Genomic DNA, 21,092 nt, shown 5'->3' with positions numbered 1-21,092 from the left:
TGATCTCAAAATCTTGGGCTCAAGTGATTGTCCCACTTCAGCCTCCCAAAGTGCTGAGATTACAGGCGTGAGCCACCATGCCCAGCCTGATTTAATTCTTAGTAATCACTGTTCTCACAAAACCCAGAAGTCCTCAAACACTAGAATGTGATATATAATAATGTAATATGATTTTTAGAAGATATTTCAGCATATTTTTCAGATATTTTGGGATAACTTCTTCAAAAGAACATCTTTTTAAGATAGATATACTACTCAGATTTCTGGTAATAGGTAAAATTGTCTCTCACCACTAAATATTACTGTTCTCCAATCTTTTTTTTTTTTAATTATTTTTAAAAATTCTTAAAAACAATAGAGATAGGGGTTTTGCTATATTGACCAGGCTGGTCTCAAACTCCTGGCCTCAAGTGATCCTCCCATCGTGGCCTCCCAAAGTGTTAGGATTACAGGCATGAGCCACTGCGCCCAGCCAAAAGTTTGCTCTTTAATCATAACAAGTCATACTCTGCTCCTTTGCCCACTGAAGTTTCTCTTTTTTTGAGACAGAGTTTTGCTCGTCGCCCAGGCTGGCTCACTGCAACCTCTGCCTTCCGGGTTCAAGCGATTCTCCTACCTCAGCCTCCCAAGTAGTTGGGGTTACAGCTGTGAGCCACCACGCCCAGCTAATTTTTTTGTATTTTTTTTTGGAAAGACAGGTTTACCCTGTTGGCCAGGCTGGTCTTGAACTCCTGACCTCAGGTGATCCACCCGTCCCCAAAGTGCTGGAATTACAGGTGTGACCCACCACACCGGGCCTGAAGTCTCTCTTTTGTGTTATAAATCTGTCAATACCTAGGGCTGTGGATGACACAATCAGAACAAAGTTCTGGGATTTCATTAACAGTCTTCGAGGAAATACATCTATTTAACTTGCTAGATACAATCCTTTTAAAAGTCAAAGAGAATTCCACATTCCATAAGGAACCTAGTTCTGTTCAAATTTTGCCTCATCAGAAATTTCACATCGGCCAGGCACGGTGGTTCACACCTGTAATCCCAGCACTTTGGGAGGTCGAGGCAGGTGGATCACGTGAGGTCAGGAGTTCGAGACCAGCCTGGCCAACATGGCGAAACCCCGTGTCTACTAAAAATACAAAAATTAGCCGGGCATGGTGGTGTGAGCCTGTAATACCAGCTACTCGAGAGGCTGAGGCAAGAGAATCACTTGAACCCGAGAGGCAGAGGTTGCAGTGAGCCGAGATCACACCACTGCACTCCAGCCTGGGCAACAGAGCAAGTCCCCGTCTCAAAAACAAACAAACAAATAAAAATAAAAAGGGAGAAAGCATAAACATGTCAAACTCTCAAATTGTCCCTGATATTAGTAGTACAACATGTGCTGCAGTCATCATCAATTCTTTATTGCTGATGCCAATAGATAGGGGCTGTGGATTATTACTTAATACTATTTAGTTCTGTGTAACAAAATTCTTCTGCACCTCCAGACAAAGTTCACTATAATATGCTTGAATGATCCACTTACATAACAGTTTAGGAAACTGTTTTACACCACTCCTTTGATAGAGAGCAGGGTTTCTCAACCTCAGCACTACTGACACTTTGGGCTAGATAATTCTTTATTGTTGGGGCTGTCTCACACATTGTAGGATATTTAGGAGCATCCTCCTGGCCTCTACTCACTAGAGGCAGTAGCACCCCTACCATTACCCCAGTTGAGACAACTAAAAAGGTCTCCAAATATTGCCAAGTGTCCTCCCTGGAGGCCTTTGGTTGAGACTACTGATATAGAGTAAATCACTACACTGAATATATTGCCCTGGTATTTGTAATTCATTTCATAATTATACTACGGTACTTAAAAAGGATTTCATTGGTATCTGGAGCATAAGAGAGTAGAGAGTAGGAAAGATTTATGAAAAAAGGTTAGAAACAGGCAGTGTCATGCACAAAACATAATTAGTAAAGCTGAACAGAAAGGGTCAAATGAGAGAGATTATAGGTAGGTGAAAACAAAAATACTACATCTAAGACTCTAATAAAATAATAAATAAAATAATAAATAATGAAGCCTCTATAAAACATTAGGACAAAAAAAGATATATTCATGTCTCAGAAATTTTTTTTTTTTTTTTTTTGAGGCAGGGTCTCATCACTTAGGTTGGAGTACAGTGGGGTGACCACAGCGTACTGCAGCCTTGAACTCCTGGGCTCAAGTGATCCTCCTGCCTTAGCCCCCTGAGTAGCTGGAACTACAGGCATGCACCACTATGCCCAGCTAATTTTTTTTTTTTTTTTTTTTTTGAGACAGAGTCTTGCTCTTTTGCCCAGGCTGGAGTGTAGTGGGGCAATCTTGGCTCACTGCAACCTCCACCTCCTGGGTTCACACCATTCTCCTGCCTCAGCCTTCCAAGTAGCCAAGACTACAGGTGCCCGCCACCACGCCCGGCTAATTTTTTGTATTTTTAGTAGAGTCGGGGTTTCACTGTGTTAGCCAGGATGGTATCGATCTCCTGAACTCATGATCCGCCTGCCTCAGCCTCCCAAAGTGCTGGGATTACAGGCGTGAGCCACCGCGCCCGGCGCTAATTTTTAATTCCGTTGTAGAGACAGGGTTTCACTATGTTCTTGAAGCGTCATAAAAAAATTTTTTTTTTTTTTTTTTTTTTTGGACTGAGTCTTGCTCTGTCGTCCAGGCTGGAGTGCAGTAGCGTGATTCCGGCTTACTGCGATCTCAGCACACTACAGGTGTGTGTCACCACACCTGGCTAATTTTCATATTTTTAGTAGAGATGTTATTTCACCTGGTTGGCCAGGCTGGTCTTGAACTGCTGACCTTAGGTGATCTGCCCGCCTCAGCCTCCCAAAGTGCCGGGATTACAGGCGTGAGCAACTGCACCTGGCCATATTTTTTGATAATAAATGGACCCTTCCTACTGTCTTCAGCTTTGGTTAACACTGAAATTAATAAAACTCAACATATATAAACCTGTATTAAAAGCTGGGACTAATGCAGCCCCTAGGGTGTCATGGTGTAGGTGAAAGAATACTGAACTCCAGTCAAGAAATCTGGCCTTCAGTCTTGGCTCATACTGAATAGACAGATAGGTATGTGACCATAAGCAGATCTTTTCACCTTACTGAGCCTTAGTTTCCTTACCTGAAAAGTAAGGGATTAGACTAGATAATACTTAGTCTCTTTCAGCTTTCACATTTTATAATTCTTCAGATGTCAGCTCATAGATGATAAATATAAAAAAAATAGGAGGGGCGCAGTGGCTCACGCCTGTAATCCTAGCACTTTGGGAGGCTGAGGTGGGTGGACTGCCTGAGGTCAGGAGTTCGAGACCAGCCTGGCCAACATAGCAAAACTCCGTCTCTACTAAAAATACAAAAATTAGCTGGATGTGGTGGTGGGCACCTGTAATCCTAGCTACTTGGGAGGCTGAGGTTGCAGTGAGCTGAGATTGGGCCACTGCACTCCAGCCTGGGCGACAAGAGTGAAATTCTGTCTAAAATAAAAAAAAGGATAATGACCACCAGGCATGGTGGCTCATGCCTATAATCCCAGCACTTTGGGAGGCCAGGAGTTTGAGACCAGCCTGGCCAACATGGAGAAACCCCATCTCTACTAAAAATACAAAAATTAGCCAGACATGGTGGTGTGGGCCTGTAATCCCAGCTGCTAGGGAGGCTGAGGCAGAAGAATCACTTGAACCAGGAGGCAGAGGTTGTAGTGAGCCGAGAGCACTCCACTGCACACCAACTAGGCAACAGAGTGAGACTCCATCTCAAAAATTTTAAATAAATAAATAAATAAATAAATAAAAAGAATAATGAATTAACTGTGTTATACATTTTATGGCTCTGGATTCATCAGAAATGGAATCCAGGATTAATTTAAGCCAGAGACAAACATTCACAATTCGAGTCCCTCTGGCATATGTCAGTTACCTTGCAGTGCAGGGGCTGACTGTGTCTGGGTTTTGGAAAGTGCAGACAGAATGCTCTCTGGGGTGATCTCCACCTTGGAGAGGATATTTGCCAGAGGGTTGTGAGATGTTGTCGTGGCAGGTGCAGGTGTTTTCAGGCCACTGGTGAGGTTGCTGGGGCTGGTGGGCGTTCCTGGAGAAGGTCTTGATGCAGGACTGACCCCTGGTGGCAGAAAGATGAACTCAAGAAAATGCAATTCAAAATGACTTCAATTTCCGATACTTCCCCTCACTTCAATGAGTTTGATATATTTAACAGGAATTCTTCTGTGGTTGATCCACAAATGGTCCATCATAACATGACATGTACAAAAAAAAAAAAAAAAACCCTGAAAAGATTATCTCCTTTTACTTGGAACACCATTAAAACAAACAAGTATTGGCCGGGCGAGGTGGCTCACACCTGTAATCCCAGCACTTTGGGAGGCCGAGGCAGGCGGATCACCTGAGGTCAGGAGTTCGAGACCAGCCTGACCAACATGGGGAAACCCTGTCCCTACCAAAAATAAAAAATTAGCCGGGTATGGTGGCAGGCGCCTGTAATCCCAGCTACTCGGGAGGCTGAGGCAGGAGAATCATTTGAACCCAGGAGGTGGAGGTTGCAGTGAGACAAGAGTTGAGACACAGTGAGACTCTGTCTTGAAAAAAACAAGTATTAAGTGATTTTCATAGTTTTGAGAGCCCCAATATTTCTTATTTATTTTTAAAAAATAGAGACAGGGTCTTGCTACATTGCCCAGGGTGGTCTTCAACTCTTGACCTCCAGTGATCCTCCCACCTTGGCTTTTCAAAGTGCTGGGAATTACAGGCATGTACCACCACACCTGGACAATCTTTTTTCTCCACCAAATGGCACCTACAGTTCAGAGCCCTGTAGGCGCTCAATAAATACTGCTGGCTGACTGGATGCTGAGAGCCACTGCAGTTGTATAACTCAGCCACTGCATAATTTCATGTGACTGGTAAGTTATATGCTTTTGAAATAGCTTTTAAAATGAGATTATTTAAGAAATTTCCTTTATATTTTTACATTTAAAAACACTGGGTTGATCTTTAACACAGGAAATAAAATATATAAAGAGAAAAACATTTGTTATTTTAAAAAAGATAAATATGAACAGATATTTCACAAAGAAACTTAAGTGAGAAGCAAAGGAAAAAAATTTTTAACATCTTTCATAGAAGAAATGGAAATTAAACAACTTTTTAAGGCTGGATTTGTAGACTGCACAAGGCAAGTAACTGGAGAAGGTAAGGAACAACAGAAGCTTTCATATATTAGTCATATAAAATAGCACTTTTTTGGATATCAATTTAGTTATATATTAAAATACTTTATTTTTATTTAGTTTTTGAGATATGGTCTCACTGGGTTGCTCAGGCTGGAGTGCAGTGGACATTCACAGGCGTGATCACAGTGAACTACACGTCCTGGAATTCCTGGCTTCAAGTGATCCTCCTGCATTTGCCTCCCGAGTAGCTGGGACTACACGGTATCCCACCTTGCCTGGCAAAATTTATTTAAAAAATTTCGGGCTGGGTGCAGTGGCTCATGATTGTAATCCCAACATTTTAGGAGGCCAAGATGGGAGGAACACTTGAGCCCAGGAGTTCAAGATCAGCCTGGGCAACATAGTAAGACACTGTCTCTACCAAAAAACCCACAAAACTTAGCCAGATGTGGTGGTGCACACGTGTGATCTCAGCCACTCAAAGGCTCAGGTGGGAGGATCACTTGAACCCAGAAGTTTGAGGTTACAGTGAGCCATGACTGCACCCCTGCACTCCAGCCTGGGTGATGGAGTGGGACCTTGTCTCAAAATAAATAAATAAATGGCCGGATGCGGTGGCTCACGCCTGTAATCCCAGCACTTTGGGAGGCCAACGCGAGCAGATCACGAGGTCAGGAGATCGAGACCATCCTGGCTAACATGGTAAAAGCCCGTCTCTACCAAAAATACAAAAAATTAGCTGGGCGTGGTGGCAGGCACCTGTAGTCCCAGCTACTCAGGAGGCTGAGGCAGGAGAATGGCGTGACCTGGGAGGCGGAGCTTGCAGTGAGCTGAGATCGCGCCACTGCACTCCAGCAGCCTGGGGGACAGAGTGAGACTGTCTCAAAATAAATAAATAAATAAATAAAAATAAAATTCCATTAAAAAGGTTTTATATACTTAACCCTTGCAAAGGGTTATTCATAAAATTTTTATAATTTACAGGTTTTTTTTTTGTTTTTTGTTTTTTTTTGAGACAAGAGTCTCGCTCTGTCAACCAGGCTGGAGTGCAGTGGCTTGATCCTGGATCACTGCAACCTCTGCCTTCTGGGTTCAAATGATACTTATGCCTCAGCCTTATGAGTAGCTGGGATTACAGGTACGTGCCACCACAGCTGGCGAATTTTTTCTTTTTTTGAGACGGAGTCTTGCTCTGTTGCCCAGGCTGAAGTGCAGTGGCGTGATCTTGGCTCACTGCAACCCCCGCCTCCCAGGTTCAAGTGATTGTCCTGCCTCAGCCTCCCAAGTAGCTGGGACTACAGATGCATGCCACCATGCCCAGCTAATTTTTGTATTTTTAGTAGACAGGGTTTCACCAAGTTGGCCAGGCTGGTCTTGAACTCCTGACTTCAGGTGATCCGCCTGCCTTGGCCTCCCAAAGTGCTGGAAATACAGGCGTGAGCCACCAAACCTGGCCTAATTTTTGTTTTTTGTTTTTTTTTGAGACGGAGTATTGCTCTGTCGCCCAGGCTGTGCAGTGGCGCGATCCTGGCTCACTGCAAGCTCCGCCTCCTGGGTTCAGGCCATTCTCCTGCCTTAGCCTCCCGAGCAGCTGGGACTACAGGCGCCCGCCACCATGCCTGGCTATTTTTTTGTATTTTTAGTAGAGACGGGGTTTTACCATGTTGGCCAGGATGGTCTCGATCTCTTGACCTCGTGATCCACCCGCCTCGGCCTCCCAAAGTGCTGGGATTACAGGTGTGAGCCACCACGCTCGGCCATAATTTTTGTTTTTTTAAGTAGAGATGGGGTTTCGCCATGTTGTCCAGGTTTGTCTCCAACTCCTGGCCTCAAGTGATCAACCTGCCTCCACCTCCCAAAGTGGTGGCGTGAGCCACCACACCTGGCCCTATAGTATTCTTCATAACAGTAAAAAACTGGAAACATACTAAGTGCCTAATAATAAAGGATTAGATAAGTTACCACATGCTATGCAGCTATTAAAAATGATGTAGAGAAATATTTAATGATTCATAAAAACATTCAAGATATGTAATTAACTTTTAAATAGCTAGTTTTGAAACAGTATATGCAATACACTTACTTTTTTAAAAATTGTTATACATATTTAATTCTCCAAAACATTCATATACACATATACTTTTAAGGGTAAACACAAGTGGTTTCCTTTGGGGTAACAGGATTATAGATATTTATTAAAAAATTTTTTTCATTTAAAATTTTTTATTTAGAGATAGGGTCTCACTATATTGCCAAGGCTGGTCTCGAACTCCTGGCCTCAGGCAATCTACCATCTCAGCCTCCCAAAGTGCTGGGATTACAGGCATGAGCCACCACGCCTGGCCTAGATATTTATTTCATTCTCTTTGCTTATTTTCTAATTTTTCTATAATGACCGATTATTGGATTATTTTTTAATTTAACAATTAATTTAGCTGGGTGCGCTGGCTCACGCCTGTAATCCCAGCACTTTGGGAGGCCAAGATGGGTGGATCACCTGAGGTCAGGAGTTTGAGACCAGCCTGACCAACATGGTGAAACCCCGTCTCTACCAAAAATACAAAATTAGCTGGGCATGGTGGCACATGCCTGTAGTCCCAGCTATTTGGGAGGCTAAGGCAGAATTGCTTGAACCTGGGAGATGGAGGCTGCAGTGAGTGAAGTTTGCACCATTGCACTCCAGCCTAGGTAACATGACTGAAACTCCGTCTCAGAAAAAAAAAAAAAAATCATTAATTAAAAAAAATCAACAACAGACTGGGCACGGTGACTCACGCCTATAATCCCAGCACTTTGGGAGGCCGAGGTGGGTGTATCACCTGAGGTCAGAAGTTCAAGACCAGCCTGGCCAACATGGTGAAACCCCATCTCTACTAAAAATACAAAAATTAGCCGGGCGTGGTAGCAGGTGCCTGTAATCCCAGCTACTTGGGAGGCTGAAGCAGCAGAACACTTGAACCCGGGAGGCAGAGGTTGCAGTGAGCCAAGATTGCACCACTGCACTCCTGCCTGGGAGACAGAGCGAAACTCTGTCTAAACAACAACAACAACAACAACAACAACCCCCCCAAAAACAGATTAATGATTCAATTTAAAAAGATGGAAATTAACTTTTTATCCTCCTTACTGGGCTTACTTACCAGTATTTTTCATGACTGATGTTAAACTGCTAAGGATGGAACTGATCTTTGCCAGATCCACATTAGCCAGGTTTGGCAAAGCCAATGCTGGGGAAGGGGAAAGAGAAGTATTCACAGGCTTTGGAAGAGGTGGAGTTGCTGTCATGGTCACAGGCACTGGGGTACATGAAGAGGCCTTTGAGATATTTTCTGTTGGCTTTGTAGGTACAGAAGTGGATACAGCTGACTTCTCTGCAGGTTTTTCCTTCCTGTCCTCGACTGTTTCAACAAAGAAAAGAGATATTACATCCTACTACTTTCCAGACTTTGCTTCCTATATGAAATAACATGTCCTAATATTTCCGGACTTGGGGGAAAAGGCACTACTTTAGAGAAAACAACGACTCACTTCATGCTTTTTTGAAAAAGTCATACTCTTCATAATTTATGATAATTCCCACCTTTAATATCTGCTTAAAAGCAATTTCCAGCTGGGGACAATGGCTCATGTGAGGTCAGGATTTCGAGACCAGCCTGGTCAACATGGTGAAATCCTGCCTCCACAAAAAATACAAAAAATTAGCTAGGTGTGGTGGCAGGCGTCTATAATCCCAGCTACTACAGAGGCTGAGACACGAGAATCGCTTGAACCCAGGAGGCAGAGGTTGCAATGAGCCGAGATTGTGCCACTGCATTCCAGCCTGGGCAACAAAGCGAGACTCCCGTCTCAAAAAAAAAAAAAAAAGCAAGCAATTTCCAGAATTTATCTTGTATCTTACTTTTCAATGATTCCTTTGCATTTTCTTAGTATTTGTGTATTAAATCTGTACAATTCAAGAAGCATGTTATTATTTGGTACACATTTGTGTTCTGTCTTTTGGAAATGATATTTTTCATAAATTGTCCTGTGTTTTTCTTTTCCATTAACCTGAGAACTTTCTAAGAACTTCTGTTCTTAGAAACAGAACCTCTATAGTGTTCATTGTATTTTCCTCTGGCTTCCTGAAATTGCCCTATTGGGGGGTGCAATCAGGCACTAGCTAATTTGAAACTACAATGTTTTAACTCTCAATCACCTTGAATAATTATTTTTAATGCTTTAAGGGCTGTATCAATAGTGCATTGAATTCAACAGGAGTCAAACTATCTAATAAGATTTATGAAGGCTGGGGATATAAGAGAAACAATTCACCAAATCAGGTTATTTCTGAAAGTGTGATTAACAAACTGACTTTGGAATTCTTGATGGTCAAAAGTGACAGAGAATAAGGAATTCCAGTATAAGTGACCCCTCATCCCAAAACAGTGCTATTTAACATGAATACAATTTAAGCCACATATGCCACATATGTAAGTTTAAATTTTCTAGCAGCCAAATTAACAAAAAAAGAATCAGGGCCGGGCATGGTGGCTCAAGCCCACCTCCCAGCACTTTGAGAGGCCGAGGCAGGCGGATCACTTGAGGTCAGGAGTTCGAGACCAGCCTGCCCAACATGGTGAAACTCCGTCTCTAATAAACATACAAAAAATAGCCGGGTGTGGTGGTATGCACCTACAATCAATCCTAGCTACTCGGGAGGCTGAGGCAGGAGAATTGTTTGAACGCAGGAGATGGAGGATGCAGTGAGCCAAGATTGCGCAACTGCACTCCAGCCTGGGCGACAGAGGGAAACTCTCTTTTTCTCTCAAAAACAAACAAATAAAAAGAAACAGACACATGTAATTTAAAAATTCTATTTTATTCATCCTAATATATCCCAAATATTTTCATTTCAGTGTTATAAATAAAAAATTATTAATGAGATATTTTAACTCTTTGGGAGAGTTTCTGCCACCATGCTCGGCCTAGTTTCTGGACTCCAATGTGTCTGGTTTTTTTTTTTTGGAGAGAGGGTCTCCCTCTGTCATCTAGGCTGGAGTGCAGTGACATGGTCTTGGCTCACTGCAACCTCCGCCTCCCAGGCTCAAGTGATTCTCCTGCCTCAGCCTTTCCAGCAGCTGGGGCTACAGACGCATGCCACCACGCTGACTAATTTTTATATTTTTTGTAGAGACAGGGTTTCACTATGTTGCCCAGGCTGGTCTCAAAGTCCTGGGCTCAAGCAATCTGCCCGCCTCAGCCTCACAAAGTGCTGAGATTACAGGCATGAGCCACTGCACCTGGCCTCAATGTGTATTTTATACTTATAGCACATCTCAAGTTGGACAAGCTTCATTTCAAATGCTTAGCCACAGGTAGCTAGTAGCTACTTTCCCCCGACCGTCCCCCCAAGACGGAGTCTCGCTCTGTCTCCCAGACTGGAGTGCAGTGGCATAATCTCAGCTCACTGCAACCCCTCTCTCAGGTTCAAGCGATTCTCTTGCCTCAGCCTCCCGGGTAGCTGGAATTACAGGTACCTGCCACCATACCCGGATAAGTTTTGTATTTTTAGTAGAGACAGGGTTACACCATGTTGGCTAGGGTGGTCTCGAACTCCTGACCTCAGGTGATCCACCTGCCTTGGCCTCCCAAAGTGCTGGGATTACAGGCATGAGCCACCGCCCATGGCCTAGTAGCTAGCATTTTAACAGTGCAGATACTGAGCAATGATTCTTAACACATTTGGCATATCAAATCCTCAACAACTGCTCTAGAGATTATAATGCTACCTTGGTGTTCTATCTTTTAAGAAATGAACTATCTTTCAATACCTGCCTGTGATGTATTCATTGCTGAGAAGGCAAAACAGATAAGGAATAAGTTGTCTATTAATCACATAAAGACATACCAATGATTTTTGACCCATCATCTTCCACATCTGAGAGTTCCATGTCTTCCACATCACGATTATCTGTCACAGGTTCAGGTGTGGCAGATTTCTCACTCTCCATGGTTGGTGACTGGGATTCCTCACCTCCCATTCCCTGAAAAGGAGACTCAGAACCAGTCGGGGAGGGAGCGTCCATGCTTGGGGAAGGAACTGGTGATTCTTCAGGATCTGGAAGGGTTGACTTCAATTGATCCAACTTCTTCTTTAAATTGTTTACTCGGTTAGCAAAGGTTTTATATGCCTAAAAGAGAAAAAAGGAGTTTACTCCTTGGAAAAAGACCAGAAAGTTAACATTTTTTCTTTTTGAGGCAGAGTCTCACTTTGTCACCCAGGCTAGAGTGTAGTGGCACAATCTTGGTTCACTGCAACCTCTGCCTCCTGGGTTGAAGTGATCCTTCTACCTCAGCCTTCCAAGTAGCTGGATCCACAGGAACACATCACCATGCCTGGCTAATTTTTGTATTTTTAATAGAGATGGGGTTTCACCATGTTGGCCACGCTGGTCTCGAACTCCTGGCCTCAAGTGATCCACACGCCTCAGCCTCCCAAAGTGCTGGGATTATAGGCATGAGCCACCAAACCCAGCCTCTTCTTTTTTTTTTTGAGAAGGAATTTCGCTCTTGTTGCCCAGGCTGCAGTGCAGTGGCATGATCATAGCTCACTGCAACCTCTGCCTCCTGGGTTCAAGTGATTCTCCTGCCTCGGCCTCCCAAGTAGCTGGAATTATAGGCGTGCACCACCACACCCGGCTAATTTTTGAATTTTTAGTAGAGACGGGGTTTCACCATGTTGGCCAGGCTGGTCTTGAACTCCTGATGTCAGGTAATCCATGCACCTCGGCCTCCCAAAGTGCTGGGATTACAGGCTTGAGTCACCGTGCTCGGCTGCTTTTTTTTTTTTTAAATAAAATTTTATTCTCTTAAATGAGAGATGAGGTCCTGCTATGTTATCCAGGCTAGTCTTGAACTCCTCGGCTCAAGTGATCCTCCCACCTCAGCCTCCCAAAATGCTAGGATTGCAGGCATACACCATCATCCCTGGCGACCCATTTTGACTCTGATTAGATTTTCTATTATTAATCACGTACATTGCTGGCACAAAACAAGATAATATATCATCTGTCAAGCATGCAGTAGTTTCTAGTTTCTGCTTTTTATACTCCCTAAGTGAATATTACCATCCACACAGTTGCCTGAGTTAGAAACCTAGCAGTTATCTGTAATTTATATTCCCTTGCTCCTGTTTATCTATCCAACCAACCAATATTTATTGAGAGCCTAAATGTATCTTCTAGGTACTGGAGATACAGCAAGAAATGAGACAGACAAGAAAAAAAAAATCAAATCCAAAAATAAAGCAAAGCCTGGGAGGTCAGATGCTATTGTTTTAAAAAACAGGGGCTGGGCCTGGTGGTTCATGTCTGTAATCTCAGCACTTTGGGAGGCTGAGGCAAGGAGGATCACTTGAAGCCAGGAGTTCAAGACCAGCCTGGGCAACATAGGGAGATACTGTCTCTACAAAAAAATAAAAAAAAATTAGCTGGGCATAGTAGCATGCGCCTGTAGTCCCAGCTGCCTGTAGTGCCAGCTACTTAGGGGGCTGAGGTGGGAGGACTGCTTGAGCCCAGGTCAGGGCTGCAGTGAGCAGTGATCACACCACTGCACTCCAGCTTGGGTGACAAAGCGAGACCCTATCTCAAAACAAAAATAGTTTGTTGTAAAAGAAGTTTTAGGTGTTAGAAAATCATTGCAAAGATAGTTCCCATATACCCTATATCCAATTTTTCCTATTACTAACATCTTATATCAGTATGATACATTTGTCACATTAATGAATCAATATTCATAATTATTAACAAAAGTCCATACTTTAGATTTCCTCAGGTTTTTTTTTTTTTTTACCTAATGTCCTTTTCTAACCTAGGATCCCATCCAAGATACCACAGAACATTTAGTAGTCATGTCTTCTTTCTCCTTAGACTCCTCTTGTTTGTGACACTTTGCTGGACTTTCTTTCTTTTTTTTTTTGAGATGGAGTCTCGCTGTGTCGCCCAGGCTGGAGTGCAGTGGTATGGTCTTGGCTCACTGCAACCTCTGCCTCCTGGGTTCAAGTGATTCTCCTGCCTCAGCCTCCTGAGTAGCTGGGATTACAGGCGTGCGCCCCCACACCTGGCTAATTTTTGTATTTTTAGTAGAGACGGGGTTTCACCATGTTGTCCAGGCTGGTCTTGAACTGCTGACCTCATGATCAGCCTGTCTCGGCTTCCCAAAGTGCTGGGATTACAGGCGTAAGCCATCGCGCCCGGCCTGGACTTTCACTGGTTTTGACGATCTTGACAGTTTTCAAGAGTACTGGTCAGGTATTTTGTAGACTGTCAATTGAGATTTGACTGATATTTTTCTAATGGCTAGACTGGGGTAATGAGTTTTTGGGTGGAAGGCCACAGAGGTAAACTGCTACTGCGATCACACCATATCAAGGGCACATACAATCAATACGACTTACCACTGTTGATGTTAATATTGACCACTTGGCTTAAATCCTATTGATGTCCTGATAGTCTTAATTGCTAATGTCTTAAAGATATCTTTTGAATTTTTCATTTTTTTGAGAGTTGATGACCATTAGATTGTGTTATTATTTTGTTTTGTAAATTCAAGAACCTTTATTTTATTTTATTTCAGACAGGGTCTCGTTCTATCACCCAGGCTTGAGTGTAGTGGCACGATCAGAGCTCACTGCAACCTCCACCTCCCAGGTTCAAGCGATCCTCCCACCTCAGCCCTCCAAGTAGCTGGGACTACAGGCACATACCACCACTCCTGGCTAATTTTTGTATTTTTTGTTGAGACAAAATTTCGCCATGTTGGCTAGGTTGATCTCGAACTCCTGACCTCAGGTGATCCGCCTGCCCCAGCCTCCCAAAGTGCTGGGATTACACGTGTGAGCCACTGTGCCCAGCCAAGAAGCATTATTTTTAAAAAGATATGAATACATTAGAATCTAGCTTTTTGCTTTTGATATAACTCAGTAGCTTATAGTAGACTAATGCTCCCATCAAGAACAAGTAGAAAAGCCAGATACACAGACACACTTGTTTGAATATACTGGAGAGTGCTAAGGCCACCAAAAACTAAGTGGCAAATACTATCAGAGGGAAAGCATGGAGAGCTAAGCTGACATTATTTTCTCTTAGGATTCTGCTGATTCTGGGGAGCTAGGCAAGAAGCTGAGAATTAAGGCAAAAAGGACAAGAGAGGGCCACTATTAAATAAAAAGAAAAAAAGCAGAGCTTTTAACAGTCTTGCTGGTCTTAACAGGCAAAAATTAGAGGACTGAAAGGCCAAGATTCTGATGAAAGAGAGAACTGGCTCAACAATTTTTCCTTCAAGATATTTGCTGAATTCTGAAGCTGCTTGAGAGGGAAGAAGCCAAGCAGAAAACCTTGGAAAAAGCAGTGGTCTCATAGTGATGAGGAAACAAGGACTAGAGAGTTCAAATCATGCCATGGAGAAGGGGGCTTAGTGATCATTCCAGGCTCTCTGTGGGAAAAATCTACATTCCAGAAGCTGGAGTGAACCAGAGGTGGAACAAGGCTTGCTTAAACTGCAATTCAGCCTCGAGTCAGTTAGGTTTCAGATTTAATTAATATGACCAGCCTCAATATCTGCCTAGCAAAACAAGGGTGAACTGTCTCTAAAGGAAGAAAAATCATCCAGAGACTCCATAATCTTTTAATGTTCAGCATTCGATAAAAAATTAGCAGGCATGCTAAGAGATAGGTCCAAATGGCTAAAAAGAAAATGCAGACACTACATTAGCAGCTACCTCTGGGCACTAAACAAAACAAAACAAAAACACCAAACACCACTAACATACCCGTAACAGGTGAAGCCAATATTGGAACTATATGACAAAAACCAAACAGCTATGATTAATATGTTCATGAAAATAGTGAAAAATTTCTTTCCCTTCCTCTGTGAGCAATTTAGTCCACAACCCATTAGCTGGAGCTGAGGGAAAAAACTCAGTGGCTTAGAGAGAATGGACCCAAAAATGAGAAAAATGTCTGCATGGGAGGGAGGCATTGCAAAGGATGTTGGAGTCTAAGCAGGATAAAAAGAAAACCCATAAAGGTGGTTGGAGAGAGATGGAAGTGCTGGGAGACTGGCCACAACTGATTAAGTAAAAACACTGAGGCCAGGCGCGGTGGCTCACGCCTGTAATCCCAGCACTTTGGGAGGCCAAGGAGCACAGATCATGAGGTCAGGAGTTCAAGACCAGCTTGACCAATATGGTGAAACCTCGTCTCTACTAAAAATACAAAAATTAGCTGGGCGTGGTGGTGTGCGCCTGTAGTACCAGCTACTCAGGAGGCTGAGGCAGGAGAATCGCTTGAACCCGGGAGACAGAGGTTGCAGTGAACCAAGATTGTGCCACCGCGCTCCAGCCTGGGCAACAGCACGAGGCTCCGTCTCCAAAAAAAAAAAAAAAGTAAATATATTGAAGACAAGGGAGCAAGGTTTTACACTGTTAGAAAAGTAATTAGTAGTGTAAAAAAGTGGTGCCAGTGGCTCACGCCTGTAATCTCAGCACTTTGGGAGGCAGAGGCAGGCGGATCACCTGAGGTCAGGAGTTTGAGACCAGCCTGGCCAACATGGTGAAACCCCATCACTGTTAAAAATATAAAATTAGGCAGGCGTGGTGGCGAATGCCTGTAATCCCAGCTACTTGGGAGGCTGAGGTAGGAGAATTGCTTAAACCTGGGAGGCGGAGGTTGCAGTGAGCCGAGATCGTGCCACTGCACTCCAGCCTGAGCAACAAGAGTGGAAAGTTCGTCTCAAAAAAAAAAAAAAAAAAAAAAAAAGGGGATATGTCAAAAGAACACAGAAAGGAGCTCACATTGACCAAAACTTTGTCAAACTGAGCATCAAAGTAAATATTAGTAGTAATGAATTAAAACAGTGAGTAAATAGGATTCAAGTCCATTCATATAAATAAATGAATACATCGAAAGTCTGGTAAGGAACAAGATATTTACATAGTTTCAAAATACTTCCTCACAAAACATTCATTAATTGGTATATTAGTTTCTTAGGGCAGTGGTTAATTAAGTACTACAAAATGAGTGGCTTAAAACAACAGAAATTTATTGTCTCTGAAGGCTAGTGGTCCAAAATTAAGATGTCAGCAGGCTGTGCTCTCTCTGACACTGGGCAGAATTCTTCCTTGCCATTTCCTGGTTTCTGGTGGTGCCCATCAATCCTTGATGTTTTTGGCTTGTAGCTGCATGGCTTCAATATCTGCCTATGCTGTCACATGATGTTCTCCCTGTGCTTTTGTCCAGTTTCTCAGTTTCTCTCTCTCTCTTTTTTTTTTTTTTTTTTGAGACAGAGTCTTGCTCTCTTGCCCAGGCTGGAGTGCAATGGTGTGATCTCGGCTCACTGCAACCTCTGCCTCCTGGGTTCAGGCGATTCTCCTGCCTCAGCCTCCCAAGTAGCTGGGATTACAGGCACCCGCCACCATGCCTGGCTAATTTTTCCTATTTTTAGTATAGACGGGGTTTCACCATATTGGCCAGGCTGGTCTTGAACTCCTGACCTCAAGGGATCTGCCTGCCTCAGCCTCCCAAAGTGCTGGGATTACAGGTGTGAGCCATTGCACCCAGCCAGTTTCCCTCTTCTTATATGGACACCAGTTATATCGGATGATTAAGGCCCACCCCAGTGAACTCATTTTAACTTGATTATATCAGCAAAGACCCTATTTCCAAATAAGGTCACATTCACATGTACTGAAGGTTAGGGCTTCAACACATCTTTTTGGGGTGGACGATTTTTTTTTTTTTTTTTTTGAGACGGAGTCTTGCTCTGTCTCCCAGGCTGGAGTGCAGTGGCGCGATCTCGGCTCCCTGCAAGCTCCGCCTCCCAGGTTCACGCCATTCTCCTGCCTCAGCCTCCCAAGTAGCTGGGACTACAGGTGCCTGCCACTGCGCCCGGCTAATTTTTTGTATTTTTTAGTGGAGACGGGGTTTCACGATGTTAGCCAGGATGGTCTCGATCTCCTGCCCTCGTGATCCACCTGCCTCGGCCTCCCAAAGTGCTGGGATTACAGGCTTGAGCCACTGCGCCCGGCCTGGGGTGCATAATTTAACCCATAACAATCACCAAGGGAAAACTTTATAATGGACAAGCCTGGAAGATGCCACATTAATCAGAATATCAAGGGGAACATTACAGGTAGTGAGATAAACCAAACTTGTGTGCCATCTGACAAGACGAAACATGAAGAACACAGAATCACTTCTGTGATATTCCTTCTAAAGATGCATAACCTCAACCTGATCACAAAGAAATATCAAATAAACTCAAACTGGGAAACATTATACAAAATATTTGACTTGTAATCTTCAAACATATTTAGGTCACGAAAATCAAGGAGAAAGCTAAGAAACTGTTCCAGATCAAAGGAGAATAAAGAGAGATGACAACCGAATGCAACTTGTGATTCTGGATAGGATCTTTTCCTATAAAAACTGGCCAATATGAATCGGTTCTGAGGATTAGATTATAAGTGTGTCAAAGTATCAATTAATTTCCTGATTATATAACTACACCTGGAGGGGCACGGTGGCTCACGCCTGTAATCCCAGCACCTTAAGAGGCCGAGGCAGGTGGATCACCTGAGGTCAGGAGTTTGAGACCAGTCTGGCCAATATGGCGAAACCCCATCTCTACTAAAAATACAAAAAGTGGTGGTGGGCGCCTGTAGTTCCACCTATTCGGGAGGCTGAGGCAGAAGAATCGCTTGAACCCAGGAGGCGGGGGTTGCAGTGAGCCGAGATTGCGCCACTGCACTCTAGCCTGGGTGACACAGTGAGACTCGTCTCTAAATAAATAACTTTTTTTTTTTTTTTTTTTTTTGAGACGGAGTCTTGCTCTGTCGCCCAGGCTGGAGTGCAGTGGCGCGATCTCGGCTCACTGCAAGCTCCGCCTCCTGGGTTCACGTCATTCTCCTGCCTCAGCCTGCGGAGTAGTGGGACTACAGGCTCCCGCCACCACGCCCACCTAATTTTTTTTAATTTTTAGTAGAGACGGGGTTTCACCGTGTTAGCCAGGATGGTCTTGATCTCCTGACCTCGTGATCCACCCACCTCGGCCTCCTAAAGTGCTGGGATTACAGGCGTGAGCCACCGCACCCGGCTAAATAAATAAATACATACATACACCTGATGGTTATGTAGAAGAGTATGTCCAGTAGGAAATACACACTAAAACATTTTGGATAATGGGGTACAAGCAACTTATTTTCAAATAATTCAGGAAAAAAAGGTCTTCATACTGGACTTAAGATCTTTCATAATGGTGAGATTTAAAAAGATGAATAAATTTTACCAGAAAATTGAACTCTTTCTTTAAAAAAATTCAGTGGCAATTCTAGAACTGAAAAGTAAACCAACTAAGAACAGATGGGTTTGGTTTAATCATAGATAAGATTCAACAGAATAAAGTATTAATGAATTACAAGACTAGTTAGTAGAATATCTAGAAGGAAGCAGAGAAGAGAAATAAAAGATGGAAAATTCAGAAAGGACTATAAAAAAAGGCATTTGGAACACAACAATGAGATCCAATATACATACTAATGTGAGTTCCAAGAGGAGAGGAGGGAGATGAAACAGTAACAATAATTGAGATCAATAGCTGAGAATTTTTGAAAATTTATAAAAAACACGAAGCCATTTGTTATGGGTGAATTATCTATCTCTGCACCCCCTGACTCATATGTTGAAGTCCTCACTCCTAGTACCCCAGAATTATTTGAAGACAGGATTTCTACAGAGGTAATCAAGTTAAGTGAGGTCATCAGGATGGGCCCTAATCTAATATGACTGGTATCCTTATAAAAAGGTGAAATCTGGGAGATGGAAGGAGGGAGAAAGAAGGAAGGAGGGAGAGGAAAGGAGGGAGGAAGAGGGATGGAGAAAGGAAGAGAGGAAGAGAGAGTACATGCAAGCAAAAACAGGAGACAAAATAGAAATCTAAAAATTATTTGATTAATTAAAAAAAGCAAAAAAGGAGTAACAAAGAAAAGGACACATAGGACAAATAGAAAGATGGTAGACTTAAACCCAAGCATATCAATAAGTAGACTAAACACTGCAAAGTCAAAGATTTTCAGACTAGATCAAAACATAACAATAAAACTAAAACAAGATCCAACTATATGCTCTTTGCAAAAGATATACTTAAATATAAAAACTCATGGGATGCAACTTAGAAGGAAATTTACTGTATTAAATGTATACATTTCCTAAAAGCTGAAAATCAACCTGCTTATCCATTAGCCAATTCGGGGTTGGGCAGGGGGAGAAAATCAATGATCTAAGACATTTTAATGTATTTTTCCTTTTCTTTCTTCTTTTAATGTATAGAAGGGTCTCACAATGTTGCCCAGGCTAATCTTGAACTCCTGGCCTCAAGTGATCCTCCTACCTCAGCCTCCCAAAGTGTTGGAATTACAGGCATGAGCCACTGTGCCCAGCCTAAGACATTTCTAAATATAAGGTCAGACAAAATTTCCCTCTCACAAACACTTTTTTTTTGGGAAATTACTTGAGACTGCTCCAGTACAATGATAGAAACCAAGAAAAAAAGACATGGAATCTGGAAAATAGAGGACTCAACTCAGGACAACAGTTAAGAGCTATTTTAGCCTAAGACTTAGGGAATAACCTAAACTGGGGACGGAAAATGAAAATTCAGGTAGGGAGGACCCAGGGGGAAAAGGGAATTCAGAATAGCTGGTGTGATGGAGAATTTAGAAAGGCTATGCAAGGGCAAACAATAAAAGAGAAAACAAAACTCTAGGAAAAAACAAAACTTCTAGTACAACTATAGTTACCACAAAACCTTGCAATGAACAATGTTTACAGAGTTATAATGTAAGCTTTTTGAAAAATTGTTTTTCAACCTTTAGAGTAGCAAAGAGTAATTAAGTATGATTATAGAACAGAATGTAAATATTACCAACTTTGACAATACAGAAGTAAATATAGTTGGCTGGGTGTGGTGGCTGATGCCTATGGTCCCATCACTTTGAGAGGCTGAGGTGGGTGGATCACTTGAGGCCAGGAGTTCAAGACGAGCCTGTCCAACATGGTGAAACCCTGTCTCTACTAAAAAACCAAAAATTAGCCAGGCATGATGGCATGCACCTGTAATCCCAGCTACTCGGGAGGCTGAGGCAGGAGAATCACTTGAACCTAGGAGGTGGAGGTTGCAGTGAGGCCAAGAGTGCGCCACTGCACTCCAGCCTGGGTGACAAAGCGAGACTCCATCTCAAAAAAAAGACAACAACAACAAAAAGTAAATATAGTTGATTGAAGCTGGAAAATTGAAGGGATAGATGAAAACTAATGGGAGCAAATAGGGATGCTACTAACCAAATTTTACGAAGTAGGGAGTCTAGTGTTAATGGTCAAAAAATAGTAAATACAGTCCTTTAATTTATAGATAACAGATTTAAAACAGTTACACAACAAAACTGGGAGAAGGAGAAAGGCGGGTGAGTATAAGCTAAATCCACATCTGTCATATCAGGAAGTTAACAGCTATTTCTAAAATAGGATAAATCAAGAAAGAATAATATGGGCAAATCATTTACAAATATGGGAGCAAATGCCAGAAAAAAATAGCAAAATTCATTAAAAGGGATTGCTTCTACGAAGTAGGACTGGTGGGACCTACAGTACCATATGCTTTTACGGCGATACACAGTGATTAAAACTTAAAAAAAATTCATTATGGAACAGTTAGTTTCTTTCAGAGGTCATTAGACACATGCCCATTTATCACCTCTCTCCCTTTCTTGGGGGAATAAAAAGAAGTTCCCTGGCTGGGTGTGGTGGCTCATGCCTGTAATCCCAGCACTTTGGGA

The 21,092-nt window shown here is 42.8% G+C and overlaps 1 protein-coding gene across 16 annotated transcripts in view; it reads right to left on the bottom strand.

Annotated features, from left to right (window-relative positions):
- The window catches only part of RPRD2 (regulation of nuclear pre-mRNA domain containing 2), a 112,420-nt gene that overhangs the window by 7,885 nt on the left and 83,443 nt on the right, over window positions 1-21,092 (bottom strand). For 9 of the 16 annotated variants that reach the window (NM_001387124.1, NM_001387123.1, NM_001387122.1 and 6 more), the window contains 3 exons: window positions 11,112-11,394; window positions 8,365-8,622; window positions 3,955-4,155 (listed from right to left, as the gene is read on the bottom strand). In NM_001387124.1, coding sequence (NP_001374053.1) covers window positions 3,955-4,155; window positions 8,365-8,622; window positions 11,112-11,394 — 742 coding nt within the window. The remainder of the gene's footprint in view (window positions 1-3,954; window positions 4,156-8,364; window positions 8,623-11,111; window positions 11,395-21,092) is intronic. The other 7 variants (NM_001387121.1, NM_001387119.1, NM_001387117.1 and 4 more) reach the window with 1 other exon arrangement.

Source organism: Homo sapiens, chromosome 1 (assembly GCF_000001405.40).
Source record: "Homo sapiens chromosome 1, GRCh38.p14 Primary Assembly".
NCBI lineage: Eukaryota > Metazoa > Chordata > Mammalia > Primates > Hominidae > Homo > Homo sapiens.
The sequence above is the reverse complement of the archived record's forward strand: the minus strand, read 5'-3'. Positions and strand labels throughout refer to the sequence as shown.